At 44.3% G+C, this 17,676-nt stretch overlaps 1 protein-coding gene across 2 annotated transcripts in view; it reads right to left on the reverse strand.

Moving 5' to 3' along the window:
* The window catches only part of PTGIS (prostaglandin I2 synthase), a 64,264-nt gene that overhangs the window by 14,877 nt on the left and 31,711 nt on the right, over nucleotides 1–17,676 (reverse strand). Inside the window, exon 6 of one of the 2 annotated variants that reach the window (NM_000961.4) lies at nucleotides 5,308–5,489. In NM_000961.4, coding sequence (NP_000952.1) covers nucleotides 5,308–5,489 — 182 coding nt within the window. Of the gene's footprint in view, nucleotides 1–5,307; nucleotides 5,490–6,100; nucleotides 11,377–17,676 lie in introns of those variants that run through there. The other variant, XM_047440325.1, reaches the window with a different exon arrangement.

Consider the following 17,676-nt stretch of genomic DNA (forward strand, 5'->3'; position numbering starts at 1 on the left):
GTGGCAGAGGTGAGATTCCACCCGAGTCTGTCTGACTCTCAATACTGTGGTTTTGCTTTCTACTCCGTTGTCAGATGCCTCAAGGATTCTTCTCGATGATCACTATCTCAGCGGAGCTATGTGCAGGCCCAGCAGCTCCCGTGGCCCCCTCCCCTACCTCTCAGGACCACCCAGGAATTTCCAGGGATGTGTGGCTGTGGCTGCTGAGGATGTGATGGGGTGAAGGCCAAGCCAGATATCGGGAAGGAAGAGAAGGATCAGATGTGATGGATGGGGCTGAGGGACATCATGTCAATCAATGGTTTCAGTCCTGGCATTACCAGCATCAGTGGGCTCAGAGCTGGCAGGGAAGCCTGACCTGTGTTTGGAAACTCTCCTCCGTCTGCCCCCCACCACCCCACCCCACCTTCCCTTACAGCCTCCTCTTCCCCTTGCCTGGACCTTAGGTCTCGGCCCACAGAGTCCTCCCTGGATGCCTGAGACTCCCACTGCTCCTTCCATCACTCTCGATTCCAGGTTCAGGGGTTCTGGATTCAGGAAGCTGTTGTGAGGATCCTATGAGATGGTGGTTGCAAAGTGCTCAACAGGATGCTTGGCCCAGGGTAAGTGCTCAGTATCTTTTGAGATTATTATTCCTGACTCATCATCTCCGACCTGACAGCAGCAATCACAGCTACCATTTTTCAGCCTCTCTGCAGCATCTGACCCAGCTTCCCACTCCCGGCTCTCCTCCCACCTTCCTGGCCCCTCCTCCTCACCCTTCCCACCACTGGAGAGCCCCAGGGATGCCCCCTTCTTCACCCACCCTCGCCTGCAGTATCTCCTCCAGTCCTGAGGATTTAAACTCCTCTATGCTGACAACTCCCAAGCCTGGACCTCAAACTTGAACTCCAGACTCTCTTCTCCAGGTGTCCACTCCCCCATCTCCATCTCAAATTCAACATACCCAAAGCCCAACCCCCGATCTTCTCCCTGAAACTTCCTCCTCCCGCCATCTCCCTCTTCTGCCCATGGCTCTGCCATCCCTCCTGTCACTCAGGCCCAAACCTGGATTCATCCTTGATGGCCTCCCCCAAGGTCCCATCCAACAGCGGATCCTGTTGGCTTTACTTTGATATATGTTCAGAATCTAACCACCCCTGACCCTGGCCCAGCAGCACCCTCTCTTGTCTGGATCCTGCTGCTCCTCTCTGCTCTCCCTGCCTCTGCTTCCCCACCCCCTACAGTCTCTTGTCAGCGCTGCAGCCAGAATGATCCCTCTAAAGCGAAAGACAGGCCAGGTTCTTCCTCTGCTCAGAGCCCTACAGCAGGCACCTGTCTCACTCACAGTAAAAGCCAAAGCCCTCCCCATGGCCTACAGGGACCTGTGTGGTCCGGCAGCTCTGCCTCCCCACCGTGTCACCCTTAGTCCTGCCTCAGGGCCTTTGCACTTGCTGCTCCCTGCCTGGGAAACTTCATTCTATATATTTACATGGTTCACCCCTCACTTCCTTCAGTCTCTGCTCAGATGTCACCTTTCAGTGAGGCCTTCCTGGGCCTGCCTTCCTGCTGCATCTCTTCTCCATAGAACACATTCCCTCTAATACTTTTTTTTTTTTTTGAGATGGGAGTCTCACTCTGTTGCCCAGGCTGGAGTGCAGTGGTGCCATCTCGGCTCACTGCAACCTCCACCTCCCGGGTTCAAGTGATTCTCATGTCTCAGCCTCCTGAGTAGCTGGGATTACGGGCCTGTGCGACCATGCCTGGCTAATTTTTGTATTTTTAGTAGAGTCAGGGTTTCATCATGTTGGCCAGGCTGGTCTCAAACTCCTGATCTCAAGTTATCTGCCTGCCTTGGCCTCTCAAAGTGCTGGGATTACAGGCGTGAGCCACTGCGCCTGACTTCTAATACATTTTAGATGCTTACTTGTTTGTTTATTTATTTATTTATTTTTGAGACAGGGTCTCACTATGTCACCCAAGCTGGAGTGCAGTGGCACAATCATGGCTCATTGCAGCCTTGACCTCCTAGGCTCAAGCAATGCTCTTGCCTCAGCCTCCCAAGTAGCTGGGACTACAGGTGCGCACCATCACGCCCAGCTTTTCTACAAAAAAAATAAGGTAGTTTTTGCAGAGATGGGGTCTTGCTATGTTGCCCAGGCTGGTCTTGAACTCTAGGACTCAAATGATGTTCCTCTCTAACTTCCCAAAGCACTGTGATGACAGCTTATGTGTTTATTAATTGTCTATCTTCTCCCACCAGAATGCCAGCTCCCTAAGGGCAGGGATTTTTGTCTGTTTTGCTCACCGCTCTATCCCCAGCTTCTAGAATGGGGCCTGGCCCATGGTAGGTGCTCTAAATATTTGTTGAAGATGTTTCTTGAGCACTTGTTATCTGCAAGGCACAGTTACAAAATTGCACATGTATTCCTGCCTCCTTTCATCTTCACAACCACGTCTTGAAACGGGTGCTACCATCTCCATTTTACAGATGAGTAAACCGAGGTGCTCAGAGGTTAAGTGACTGACTTGCCAGGAAGTGTCAAAATCAGGATTCAAACTCAGGCTGGGAGGTCACAGAGCCTGTGCCAGAAACTCCTAGGCCAAGTACCCTCTTGGCTCCACTCCCAAAAGGCCCTTGAAAAGTTTTCCCACCTGCCTGAATTCTGGACGCTGTCAACGACTCAACCTCAGAGGACATCTTGTCCCCAGCTCCTGCCCAGCTCTCCTGGCCCTGCCAAAGGCTGTTCCCTGGACTTTCTGCCACTCAAACCCCTCAGCCAGCATCCAGTTTTGCTGACACCAGTCATTCCCACGAGAGTTCTGGAGACACTTTGGAGCTCCAAGTCATCTCTGCACATAAATATGTTATTAGGCACTGATGTGGGGGACAACTGCCAATTGATCCCAGTCCCCACCCCTTGCCAGTCTCTGCCTGCAAGGACAGTTAATGGCTCTGAGGAAACTAAAAATAAGCTGCAAGTCGATGGGAGAGGAATTACCCAGAAATGTCAGCTTGTGCAACTGTCACCGTCGAAGTGGGGCCAAGAGAAAGATGGGGCTTGGGGATCAGGAGAGAGGGCAGGAACCAGGCCTGGAGCTGTGCAGCATGGAAGGCTACCATCTTTCTCTCACTCCAATATCTGGTCCATGACCAAGTCCACTGACTCTGTCTTCCTGAAATTTCCAAAATCTATCCACGTCCTCATCACCTCCATGGCCACCACCTGACCCTGCCACCACAGTTTCCTCCTTGTTGCCCTGTTTTTGCTTTTGCCCCCAAGATCCTGTCCCTCCTCTGCTCAGAACTCTCCCAGGCCCCCATCTCGCCCAGAGAAAAATCCCAAGTCCTCATTTATGAGGACCCACAAGGCCCTCAGTGACCTCTTCCCTCGGTCTCACGCCCCCTCCCTCACTCTGCTTCAGCTGTGTGATCCAACTCTACTCTGCAAGATCCAACCCCAGGGCCTTTGCACTTGCTGTTTCCCTTATTTGGAATCTTCTATCCCCATATCTTCTCCAAGTCTCTGAATCTAGCTTTCTTATCATCCAGGGCTCATCTCAAATATCTCAGGGAGGCCTCCCTGACCACCCCAGCTAGAGCAGACCCGAAAGTCTCTCTATTCACAGCCCTGTTTCATACTCTACATATCATCATCTAAAATCACCTTGTATATGTTTCCTTGACTCTCTGCCCCCTGTCCTCCTGACCCCCCAAATGGTAATCGACACAACACAGAATCTTTGAGGTCTACGGTAAGTACTCAAAGGATTTTTTTTAAGAGGTGGAATCTCACTATGTTGCCCAGGCTGGTCTCAAACTCCTGGGCTCAAGCAATCCTCTTGCCTCACCCTCCTGACTAGCTGGGACTACAGGTGCACACTACCATGCCCAGTGTCTCAATGGAACTTCTAAACAATTCTTCAAAATAACTGGTCTGCACACTTCAAAAAATGTAAATGTAATGAGAAACAATGAAACGCACAGAAACCGTGCCAGATTAAAGAAAATGGGTCGGGTGCAGTGGCTCATGCCTGTAATCTCAGCACCTTGGGAGGCTGAGGCTGGTGGATCACGAGGTTAAAAGATCAAAACCATCCTGGCCAACATGGTGAACTCCCATCTGTACTAAAAATACAAAAAATTAGCTGGACGTGGTGGCATGCGCCTGTAGTCCCAGCTATTCAGGAGGCTGAGGCAGGAGAATCGCTTGAACTCAGCAGGCAGAGGTTGCCGTGAGCCGAGATTATGCCACTGCACTCCAGCCTGGCGACAGAGCAAGACTCCATCTCAAAAAAATAAAAAAATTAAAAGAAAAGAAAACAGAAGAGTCAGAATGACTAAATGCAACGTGTGATTCTGGATTGGATGCTGGACCAAGATGAACCAAAAAGGACATTATTGAGACAACTGGCAAAACTGGAATACAGATTGTTTATTAGATAATGATCATGTATTTGGGCTCATTATCCTGAAATTGGTTATTGTACTGTGGTCATGCAGGAGATGTTCTTGCTTACACTCAAGCAATTAGGGATAAAAAAGCATGATATCTGCAACTTATTCCCAAATTATTTCAATAAAATAATCCCAGTGGGGAAAAGAGAGCATAAGAGAGAGAGAGACAGAGAGAGAGAAAGCAAAGGTGGTAAAATGTTTAAAACTGGGGAATCAAGGTGAGGCATATATAGGAGTTCATTAAACTATTTATTAAACTTTTCTATAAATTTAACATTTTTCCAAATTAAAAAAAAACAAAAACAAAAAACAAAAAACAAAAAGAAGCTGGGCGTGGTGGCTCACACTGTAATCCCAGCACTTCCAGAGGCCGAGGCAGGCAGATCACTTGAGGTCAAGTTTGAGACCAGCCTGGCCCCATTTCTACTAAAAATACAAAAATTAGCCAGGCATGGTGGCAGGCAACTGTGGTCCCAGCTACTCGGGAGGCTGAGGCATGAGAATCACTTGAACCTGGGAGGCGGAGGTTGCAGTGAGCTGAGATCGAGCCACTGCACTCCAGCCTGGGCAACAGAGCGAGACTCTGTCTCAAAAGAAAAAAAAAGAAAAGAATACCGAATGAATGTTTCTGTTCGTGATGCTATTTGACAGTAAAGGAAGTCAGGGAACTGGTTTGGGCAGTGGGTATGTGTGCACACACCCACACTCACATCAGCACACACTCACAAATGCACACCTACATACACATGCACACACAGGCATAGTCATGTGCACACCTGCACAGGTGCACAGACATGCACACACACATGCGTTCATATCGCAACCACACATGCACACCTGCACACACCCACTTGCACATTCACACCCACCTGTGTGGCCCACAGCTGCAGCACCAGGGCCCGTGCCTGCATCTCCTCTGACACACCCATCTCCTCCAGGTGCAGCAGGTAACTCTCCAGCCATTTGCTCCGGTGGGCCCGCCTGGCCAGCCTGGCTGGGGATAGCAGCTTCCACAGGCGACTTTTGACACTGCACATGTGGTCCTTGTCCCCTGCAGGGACAGAGCACAGAGAGTAGGGGTTACAGATTCACCATCCCACACCCAGGGCTGGCCAGGCATGACCTCCCATGAGGCCAAGGGTCTTCTGAATGTCACTCATTGAGGGTGGGGAGTTCCTGTGGGAAAGAAGCTGCAGGACAGGCCCACAGCAGGAAGCCCTTTCAATACCAAATTGCTTATTATCTGTCTTACCCCCAGTAAAAAGAAGCAAGGGGTCTTGTCTCCTGCAGGTGGGAGCCTGATCTATTTCAATCACCTCTATGTCCCCATCACCCGGCCCGTAGCAGGTGCTCAATAAATATGCATTGTATTAGTCTGTTTTCATGCTGCTGACAAAGACATACTTGAGACTGGGTAATTTATTTATTTATTTATTTTTTAAAAAATAGGTTTAATGGACTCACAGTTCCATGTGGCTGGGGAGGCCTCATAATCATAGTGGAAGGTGAAAGGCACATCTTACATGGCGGCAAGCAAGAGAAAATGAAAGCCAAGCAAAAGGAGAAACCACTTACAAAATCATCAGATCTCATGAGACTTATTCACTACAAGGAGAACAGTATGGGGGAAACCACCCCCATGATTCAGTTATCTCCCACTGGGTCCCTCCCACAACACATGAGAATTATGGGAGCTACAGTTCAAGATGAGATTTGGGTGGGGACACAGCAAAACTATATCATGCATTAAATAAATGGTAGTTCTTTCCAGAGCAGGAGAAGGAACACTAAACACTGAGCAGCATTCTCCCTCCCCAGGGTCCAACCCCAGAGCAATGCCAGCCCATGTGCATGAGGAGGAGGCCACTGTGAGCAGGCTCAGCACAGCAGCAATCACAGAAAGACATCAGCAACAACCTAACTGGCAGATTGGGCTGGAGTCTCAAACTCAACTCACTCCAGAGAAGGCAGGCCAAGTAAAAGAGAGACGGGCCAGAAAGGGGCCATGGCACTTAGCCCACCAACCAGCCCTCGGCAGGAGAGGGAAACACCCCAGCATGGCCAGAAGGCCTGTGCTTTCAAAGGAAGCTGATAATCCAGACAATTATGTATAACCTTCTGATGTTTTTTAAGGTTAGCATCCAAGTAAAAAGTTTTTAATCACTGTGCAGACCACAGAAGCATCTCTGAAGGTCAACTTTGGCCCACAGATCACTAGCGTGCATCACCATTAAACAGACAATGGTGTGTTTATGTTCTGGAAACATACAGCAGTGAAAGTGAGTTAGTACATTTTACCTACAGACACAGAGAGTTCCCAAGGGCAGACTGGTAAGGGGATAAAGCCGGGCACTGAAGAATGACACTATTTAGATATTGTTTTCTTTTCTACTTCTTTTTTTTTTTTTAAAATATTTTCATGAACCATACATGAGCCTTAATATACATTGTTTTAAAGCTCCACGGTAATGCTATTTATATGCACAAATATAAAGTTTAAAACAAAAATATAAAATATAAAATTTGGTTTTCTCCGAAATCACCCCTTGGAAAAGTGAGAGTCATTTTGGATTGCTCTGAAGTTTCAAAGTATTGGAAACTCCCTCACTGACTCTTCTGAACCACAAGCCGTGTTTCAGGAAGACTCGCCCCACCAGCGATTCTAAACCTGGCTGCACCTCACAGGGCATTTGAAAGGGTCGAAAATGTAGACTATGTTTTTTTTTTAAAGTATGTTGGCTTCATTTTCAAATAATACGCTGAATATGTTTAACTTTTAGACTTCAACTTGAGCTCATTGTTTTACATTGAAATGAATGTCACCATTTCGGGTGACATTTCAATGTAAAGCAATAAGCTTAAGTGTTCAACTGAAATACATTATCTTCCTATGTTTCTCCACTTTTCAGGCTCTCTGAAGAATTACCTGGGAGCTCTTAAATCTCTGGATGCCCAGGTGCCAACCCCAGATTGATCATGTCAAAATCACGTGCGTGGGAACTGGGCATCCAGAGGTTTAGGCCTGCAGGGCGCGGGCAGTGTTGAAACCACCTCAGTTGATGCCAACTCTGGATACTTCTAAGCATCATCTGATGGGATGGCTAAAAAAAGAGGCAAAGAAATTTAACACAGCTTTAGAAATAACTGGCATTCTTTGAAGTCTGACCACACAACTGCAATCTTGAATATCACTGTAAACACGGCGTTTACAGATGACTTTAAAAAGCAAGGCAGGACCATTCTCCACTTTTCCCCTGTGCCTACAGCAGTTCTGAGTACATAGGAGGCACTCTATATTTGCACAATCAATGAATAATTAAGCAAAAAAGGTAATGCAGTATGAAAAGACAGCTGACAGAAAGTGAGAAAATATTTGTAAATAATATATCTGATAAGGGTCTAACACCCAAAATATATAAAAGAACTCCTACGACTCAACAACAATAAAAAACAAACAACCTGATTTGAAAATTGGCAAAGGACTTGAATAGATATTTCTCCAAAGAAGAGATACAAATGGCTGATAAACACATGAAACAATGCTCAACACCATTAGTCATTAGAAAATGCATGTAAAAACCACAGTGTGATACCATTCACAACCATGAGGATGGCTACTATTTAAAACATAGGAAATAAGTGATGGTGAGGACGTGGAGAAATTGGAACCCTTATGCATTGCTGGTGGGAATGTAAAATACTGCAGTTGCTGTGAAAAAGAGTTTAGCAGTTCCTCAGAAAGTTAAAGAATTACCATATGATCCAGTAATTCTAGTTCTAGGTATATAGCCCAAAGAACTGAAACCAGAGACTCAAACAGATACTCGTGCACCAATGTTCATAGCAGCATTATTCACAGTAGCCAAAAGGCAGAAACAACCCAAATGTCGGTTGATAGGTGAATGGATAAATAGAATGCAGTATATACACACAATGTATTCACTCTTAAAAAGGAATGAAATTCTGACGCATATGCCAGGCATGGTGGCTCACGCCTGCAATCCTAGCACCTTGGGAGGCCAAGGTGGGCAGATTTCCTGGGCTCAGGAGTTAGAGAACCAGCATGGGCAACATGGTGAAACCCTGTCTCTACTAAAATACAAAAAAAAAAAAAAAAAATTAGCCAGGCATGGTGGTGTGTACCTGTAATCCCAGCTACTCAGGAGGCTGAGGCACAAGAATAGCTTGAACCCGGGAGGCGGAGATTGTAGTGAGCTGAGATGGCGACACTGCACTCCAGCCTGGGCGACAGAGACTCTGTCTCCAAAATCTCATATAATGAGAATCCTAGAACAGGAAATTCAGAGACAGAAAGTACAATAGAAGTATACTATTCGACAGAAAGTAGAATAGAAAGTAGAATAGAAGAGACAGAAAGTAGAATAGAAGATATGTCGGGCTGGGAGGAAAGGCAGGTGGGGAATTATTGTTTAATGGGCACAAAGCTTTTGTTTAGAATCATGAAAAGTTTCTGGAAATAGATAACGGCATGGTTATACAACATTGTGAATGTATTTACTGCCACTGAATTATACAATTAAAATGGTTAAAATAGTATATTTTATGTTATTTATTATTTTACCACAATTTTTTTAAAAGGCATATGAAGGTCATTTGGCAAAAATGAGTCAAAGATAGTGTTGTATAACAAAGAATTTGCATTCTGGGCGGGTGCAGTGGCTCACGCATGTAATCCCAACACTTTGGGAGGCCAAGGTGGGCAGATCACTTGAGTTCAGGAGTTTGAAGCCAGCCTGACCAACATGGTGAAACCCCGTCTCTACTAAAAATACAAAAAAGGATAAGCTGGGGGTGGTGGCAGGCACCTGTAATCCCAGTTACTTGGGAGGCTGAGGCAGCAGAATCACTTGAACCCGGGAGGTGGAGGTTGCAGTGAGCTGAGATGGAGCCACTGCACTCCAGCCTGGGTGACAGAGTGATACTCAAAATACAAAAGAATTTGAATTCCAAGGTTTCAGTTACCCATGGTCAACCATGGTCCAAAAATATTAAATGAAAAATTCCGGACATAAACAGTCATAAGTTTTAAATTACATGCTGTTCTGAGTAGTGTGTTGAAATCTTGTGCCATCCTGCTCTGTCCTGCCTGGCAAAAAACACAGGATAAAAATATAGCAGTGGGCTGGGTGCAGTGGCTCACTCCTGTAATCCCAGCACTTGGGGAGGCCGAGACGGGCAGATCACCTGAGGTCAGGAGTTCGAGACCAGCCTGGCCAACATGGTGAAACCCCATCTCTAACAAAAATATAAAAATACAAAAATTAGCCAAGCATGGTGGTGGGCGCCTGTAGTCCCAGCTACTCAGGAGGCTGGGGCAGGAGAATCGCTTGAACCCAGGAGGCAGAGGTTGCAGTGAGCGGAGATTGCACCACTGCACTCCAGGCTGGACAACAGAGCAAGCAAGACTCTGTCTCAAAAACAAAAAAAATATATATATAGCAGTGATTGGATCATGGATCAAATCAGTTTACATTTGTATATCCCTTAGAGCAGTGTAGAGGACACACTAAACCTTACCCAAGAGTTATCTATTGCTGTGATATATTGTTAGCACAAAGCAAAGTGCCAGCAACCACGTGTTTAGTATGCATTTGTGGAAAAAAAGAAAAATAAGAATATAGTCACATTCACTTGCACTTGTGTGAAGGAACTCTAGAAGGATCCATTTGAAACTAATAAAACTAATCAATTATGAGCAGTGGGAATTGGTGGAAGGGGATGTGACAAGAAAAGGAAGGAGACTTACCACTGTTATTACTTAATTTTTTTCCAGCCTTGCTGAGGTATAATTGACAAAGGAAAATTCTTATTTAAGTTGTACAACATGATGTTTTGATACACAAATATGGTGTGAAATGATTGCTGCAATCAAGCTAATTAGCATATCCATCACCTTACATAGGTGCACACTCACACGTGCATGCATGGTGAGAATACTTAAGATCCACTCTCTTAGCAAATTTCAAGTATACAATACATTGTATACTTGTATATTAAATCTCCAGAACTTATTCATTTTATAACTCAAAGTTTATACCCTCAACCAACACACCCCCATTTCCCCACCTCCTGAGCCCTGGTAACCACTGTTCTACTGTTCCTCTGAATTCAACTTTTTTAGCTCCCACGTATAAATGACATAATGCGGTATTTGATTTTCTGTGTCTGGCTTATTTCACTTACAATATTGTCTTCCAAGTTCATCTATATTGTTACAAATGGCAGGATTTCTCCCTTTTTATGGCTGAATAACATTCTTTCGTGGATTTACATACACAGCAGTCCTGTCTTATCCAGTTTCACTTTCCAAGGTTTCCATCACCCATAGTCAACCATGGTCCAAGAATATTAAATGAAAAACTCCCTAAGTTTGAAATCGCACACCATTCTGAGTAGCATGATGAACTCTTGTGCCATCCTGCTCCATCTTGCCTGGGGGGTGAATCATCCCTCTGTCCGGTGTATCCACACTGTAGACCACACCTGCCCATTAGTCACTTGGGAGCCACTGTCTCAGTTATCACGTCAACTGTCATGGTATGGTAGTACTTGTGTTCAGGTAACCCTTATTTTGTTTTCATTACAGTATATCGTTATAATTGGTTTCATTTTATTATGTTGTTAATCTCTTACTGTGCCTCATTTATAAATTAAACTTTATCAGGCCAGGCATGGTGGCTCACGCCTGTAATCCCAGCACTTTGGAAGGCCGACGTGGGCGGATCACCTGAGGTCGGGAGTTCGAGTCCAGTATGACCAACACAGAGAAACCCTGTCTCTACTAAAAATACAAAATTAGCTGGGTGTGGTGGTGCATGCCTGTAATCCCAGCTACTCAGGAGGCTGAGGCAGGAGAATCGCTTGAATCTGGGGGGCGGAGGTTGTGGTGAGCCAAGATTGCACCATTGCATTCCAGCCTGGGAGACAAAAACGAAACTCTGTCTCAAAAAAAAAAAAAAAAAATTAAACTCTGTCATAGTTATGTATGTATAAGACAAAACAGTATATACAGGGTTCAGTACCACCCATGGTTCCTGACATCCACTGGGGGTCTTGGAACATATCCCCTGAGGTTAAGAGGGGGCCATTGTACCACTATCTCTGTATCTGTTCATGCACTGATGGACACTTAGTTTGTTTCCATGTCTCAGCTGTTGTGAATAATGCTGCAATGAATTGGAGGTGCAGACATCTCTTCAAGACAGTGATTTCATTTCCTTTGAATATATACCTAGAAGAGGGATTGCTGGATCATGTGGTAGCTCTATTTTTGATTTTTTAGGAACCTCCATACTGTTCTCCATGATGGCTATACCAATTTAAATTCCCACCACCAGTGCGAAAGAGTTCTCTTTTCTCCACATCCTTGCCAATATTTGTCATCTTTTGACATTTCTAACGGGTGTGTGGTGATATCTCCTTGTGATTTTGATTTGCATTTCCCCAATGAGTAGTGATGTTGAACACCTTTTCATACCTGTTGCCATTTGTATGTCTTCTTTGGGAAAAATGCCTATTCTGGTCCTTTGTCCATTTTGCAGTCAGGTTATTTGGATTTTTGTGTTTTTTGAGGCAGAGTCTCGCTCTGTCGCCAGGCTGGAGTGCAGTGGCGTGATCTCGGCTCACTGCAACTTCCACCTCCCGGGTTCAAGCAATTCTCCTGCCTCAGCCTCCCGAGTAGCTGAGACTACAGGCGTGCACCACCACGCCCAGCTAATTTTTGTATTTTTTAGTAGAGACAGGGTCTCACCATATTGGCCAGGATGGTCTCGATCTCTTGACCTCGTGATCTGCCCAACTCGGCCTCCCAAAGTGTTGGGATTACAGGTGTGAGCCACCGCTCCCAGATGTTATTTGGAATTTTTGGTATTGAGTTGTATGAGTTCCTTATCTATTTTGGATGTTAACCCCATATCGGGTATGTGGTTTGTAATCTACTTTACATTTTTAATGTTTAAACCACGCGAAATAATTTTTAAAATAAAATAATAGAAAATCTGGCAAACCCCCCAAAAATAATTTCCAGTGAAACATCATATACTGTAGAGATTCAAGGAATTCAGTGCATATGGGAGTGAGGAAGAGAAGATTCTGGAAAACTGAGCTTGGTGGCTCAACCTGGGGCCCTGCAGATGAGCAAAGCTGTGTAGTTAAAGGGGGAGTCTGCATAAAGCCCCCTCCTGAAATGTGGTCGTGGGAAGAAAGCAAATGTTCGAAATGGTTACAGCACATTTATACAATTCACTACAGACGTTCAACAAAACAGATACGGAGAAATGCAACTATTTACTTCCATTCCTAATTATTTCAATATTTAGGTTGCCCCAAAAATCAAAAAAAGACAAAATTTTAAAAATCTTCCCACTGGGAAAACAGAGGCTTGCTGTCTACTTGGGATTCCAGTACAATTTGCTATTTTGTTGTTTTTTTTCTTTTGAGACAAGGTCTTGCTCTGTCACTCAGGCTGGAGTGCAATGGCGTAGTCTGGCTCACTGCACCCTCAACCTCCTGGGCTCAAGTGATCCTCCCACCTCAGCTTCCTGAGTAGTTGAGACTACAGGTGTGAGCCACCACAACTGGCTAATTATTATTATTATATTTTGTAGAGACAAGGTCTGTCTATATTGCCCAGGCTGGCCTCAAACTCCTGAACAAAAGTGATTCTCCTGCCTTGGCCTCCCAAAGTGCTGGATTACAGGTGTGAGCCACTGTGCGCAGCCTCATGCTGTATTTTAATGTCTGCATAAAGGCCAAGTGTTGTTCTGGGAAACAGAGTAGCCGCAAGCCCCAGGGAGTTATGGAGCATTTGAAATGCGGCTGGCTCGAATGCAGCCACATTTAATATAGGGTAGGGGAGACACTGGATTCCAGAGTCAGCATGAGAAACAAAATGTAAAATATCTTATCAATAATTTTAACATTGGTTAATGCTAAAATGCTAATAATATTTTAGATGTATTGGCTTAAATAAAATGTATTATTAAAATCGATTTCACTTCTATTTTTCTTTTTTAGTGTGTCTAATAGAAAATTTTAAATTACAAATGTGATTCCCATTATTTGTCTATGTACAGCACTGTTCTAGAAGGATAACAGCAAACAGATAGCAATAGTTACCTGGGGATAGATTTAGAGGGAATGTGGTCAAAAGAGAATTTTCCTTTTTGAAATATTTGATTTTTTTTTAACAAAAGTCAGAGGAGCCCAGTTAAGAGGCCCAGTGCTGTAGCAGAGTGCCTGACCTTGAACAAGTCACCTCACATCTCAGCATCTCAGTTTTCTTGCCTGTAAATTGGGATAATAAAAGTACCCACCACAGAGGGTTATATACAGATCAAATGCGTTATTAACATCTAAAGCACAGAGATGACTGACACAGTCCTAATAAACGCTATATTATTAAATAACAAATCTTACTGAATGTTAGCAAATTATTAGCCCAAGGAGAACATGTTCATGAATTGCTTCTTTAATTAAGAAACAATAATAAATTGCGAAATACAGAGCACAAAGTTTGAAGACAGAGAGCATTGAAATCCCAGCTCTTCCCTTTCTAACGAGATGACCTTGGCCAAGTCACTTTGCATCTCTGAGCCTCAGTTTCCCCCATGTGTAAAATGAGGGCCATCTAGCTCATAGGATGGTCAGGAGGATTCAGAAAGATCACACACAGAACACACTTGGTATCGGTAGAAGTTTGTAAAATGCTACTTGCTACATTCTCTCCATTATTACGAGGTATTTCTTATTGGTGTGATAACCGGATGCCATGAATGAGGGCTGCCAGGCCCACGGTGATTGGCAGCCCACCAATTTAAACCAGATTGGTGTATCTGGTTTAAATCCCAGAGTCCCCATGCTATGTAGCCTCGGCTGAGCCCCTGCCCATCTCTGGACCTCAGTCTCCTCATCCAAAAAATGAGGACCCAGACTTGAATACCTCTCAAGTTTTTTCTGGGAAAGCCCTCTAGGCCCTCTAGATTTGGGGGCATAGTACAGAGAGGCCCCCAGAAGACACATGTCTTTAAAGTCTTGTGTTTTACCTTTGAAATGCATCAGAGTTTTGCATCAGACTCTGTGATTCTTTGATATAAGAATGCCTTTTTCCCCAAAACAATGTTCAAATAAACAGCCCCCCAAAATAATCCAGTAAAATAAATGTTCCAGACAGAAGCACTATGCTTAGCTAGGGGGTCTGTTTAACTGTCCCCTGCCCCCAACTCCCTACTGTATGAGAAACACCAGACTCAATGGCCTAAGGGTTCTCAAAGGATTAACTTTCTTTTAAAATATATTTATACTTTAAAAAGTGAAGGAAGAATAATGTATGCATACAGAAAAAAAAGAAGAAAAATAAAGAATCTAAGAGTTCAAGTCCACATCTTGTAAAAAATGATTTTCTCTCCACCCCTTCTCGGCCTTCCCAAAGGCAAAAATCTATACATACTCCCACATTTTTAAAAATGGCCGGGTGTGGTGGCTCACACCGGTAATCCTAGCACTTTGGGAGGCTGAAGCAGGCAGATCACTTGAGGTCAGGAGTTCAAAACCAGCCTGGCCAATGTGATGAAACCCCAGCTCTACTAAAAAAGTACAAACACATTATCCGGGGGTGGTGGTACGTGCCTGTAATCCCAGCTACTCGGGGGGCTGAGGCAGGAGAATTGCTTGAACCTGGGAGGCAGAGGTTGCAGTGAGCTAAGATCGTGCCACTGCACTCCAACCTGGGCAACAGAGCAAGACTCTGTCTCAAAAGCAAAAACATATATATATATATATAAAATGTATGTATATATAGTGATATAGTATACCCTCTGCCTGCAGCTTGCTCTTTTTTGTAACAGTAGATTTCATTCACTACCAGTATGTCCCACTCTGTTTTAGATGCATAGATGGCCTTTAGATGAATGCATAATTTATTTAATCAGCCCTTACTGATGGACTTTAAATTGTTTCTAGCATTTGCAATTATAAGCAATGTGACAATGAATATGTTTGTGTATCTGTAGACATGTGCAAGCATTTATGTAGGATAAATTCCTAGAAGTGGAAGTACAGGATCAAAGGAATGTGCATTTTATTTTATGTTTCAGCAGGTTCTGCCAAAAGAGGCTGCAATGCTTCAAGCACCCCACAGCAATGTTCGGGGGCTGCTTTGCCCACATGCCTCTGGTCCCAATTAAGATGAGAAATCACCGTCCCACATTGCCACCTGCTGCTCATATTGAGAAATGCATCCTTCCTATAGCCAGCCCAGGGCTGCTCCCAGAGTGATGGGGGGAGTTCCTCTGCGTCTAATCAGACTCCTCTGGAGCATCTGTGTGGAGGAAATGGTAATGGAGAAACCCAATTTTTCCTGGGGAAGCAATCAGTGCTAGGATGTGGCAGGTGCTTTATGCACAGGATTTTGCAGACAGACAGACCAAGTTTCCACCTACCAGCTGCATGTCTATGACAAGTGATCTCACCTCTCTGAGCCTCAGTTTCCTTATCTGCAACATGGGTATGTGAATAACAACCTTCCAGCATGGATGGCAAGATTTGATAAGCTCAAATGAGTTCCTCTAAAAAGATAATAAAGGACACAAACAGCCGGCTCATAAACAGGAAATGCAAATGGCTACTGAAACACAAAAAAATACAAAAATTAACCAGGCTCAGTGGCACGTGCCTGTAGTCCCAGCTACTTGGGAGGCTGAGTTGGGAGGATCGCTTGAGCCTGGGAGGTCAAGATTGCAGTGAGCCGAGGTCTCGCTACTGCACTCCAGTCTGGGTGACAGAGCAAGACTCTGTTTCAAAACAACAAAAAAACCACACACACCCAGAGATGTTTCATCACAGTAGTCAGTGATATGCCACATAGAGCCAGATGTCCTTTTTTCCATCAGATTGGCAATTATTTAAAGGCTGATAACTGCATGTTGGCAAGGTTGTGGTAACATGCAAATTAAAGCAATAAGTTACCCACCTCTGCCCATCAGATTAGCAAATAAATGGAAAGATTGATGGCATCTGGTGGAGCAGATTTCTTCCCTTTAGGTAGGCGGATGAATTGCTCTGTGGTTTTGGAAATGATGTGGCAGAAGCAGATAAAAATTTTAATGTATAGGGCCTTTGACCTGGCAAAACCACTTCTAAGAAGTGGGCAGAGAGAAATGAAATAACCAGATGGTAGAACAGATACAAGTACAATGAAATGGTATAAAAGCAAAAAGAAAGAAAGATAGAATATTGACATCTGTCAGAGGGAAATGGCTAACTACTGAAACAGCCATGTGAGGGCTAAAAAAATGTATTGGTTTTTTGTTTTTGTTTTTGTTTTGAGATGGAGTCTTGCTCTGTCACCCAGGCTGGAGTGCAGTGGCGTGATCTTGGCTCACTGTAACCTCTGTCTCACCAGGCTCAAGTGATCCTCCCACCTCAGCCTCCCAAGTAGGTGGGATTACAGGCGCTTGCCGCCATGCCCGGCTAATTTTTTGTATTTTTGGTAGAGATGGGGTTTCGCCATGTTGGCCAGGCTGGTCGCAAACTCCTGACCTCAAGTGATCTACCTGTCTCAGCCTCCCAAAGTGCTAAGATTACAGGCATGAGCCACCGTGCTCGGCCAGATGTCTTGTATTTTTAATGTTAATTTCATATCCTTCTACTTTGCTGGATTCATTTATTGCTGGAGTTTGTTTTATTATTGATTTTCTGGGGTTCTCCAGGTACAATATCAGATCATCTGCAAATAGGAATAGTTTTACTTCTTTACCCATTCTGATGTCTATAATTGGTTTCTCTTGTTTAATTGCATCAGCTAATATCTCTAAAAGATGTTTATATCAACAGAGAAGAATGTACAGCTATATTGTTAGGTTAAAAACAGGTTGTAAATAACAGATACAATTTTTCTTTGTAAACACAGAGACACTGTAGATGTGCATATTTGTCTCTAGTTGTGAGAACATACAAAATACCATGAAGGGATAATACCACCATGCTAACATTGGCTTCACAGGAAGCTGGGCTTGGAAGAAGGGGTATTATATTTTATACAACCTGTAACTCTGAATTGTTAACCACAAGATTATGATTCTCTCATAATGTAAACAAAATCAATAATGCATTAAAGTTTGGCTTTTTAAAAATATATAAGCAAAAGGAAATGGGTGATGAAGTGTTTGAGCACTGACTATGACAATGCTTAACCTCGTATCTGGCACATAGTAAGTGCT

Source organism: Homo sapiens, chromosome 20 (assembly GCF_000001405.40).
Source record: "Homo sapiens chromosome 20, GRCh38.p14 Primary Assembly".
NCBI classification, from domain to species: domain Eukaryota; kingdom Metazoa; phylum Chordata; class Mammalia; order Primates; family Hominidae; genus Homo; species Homo sapiens.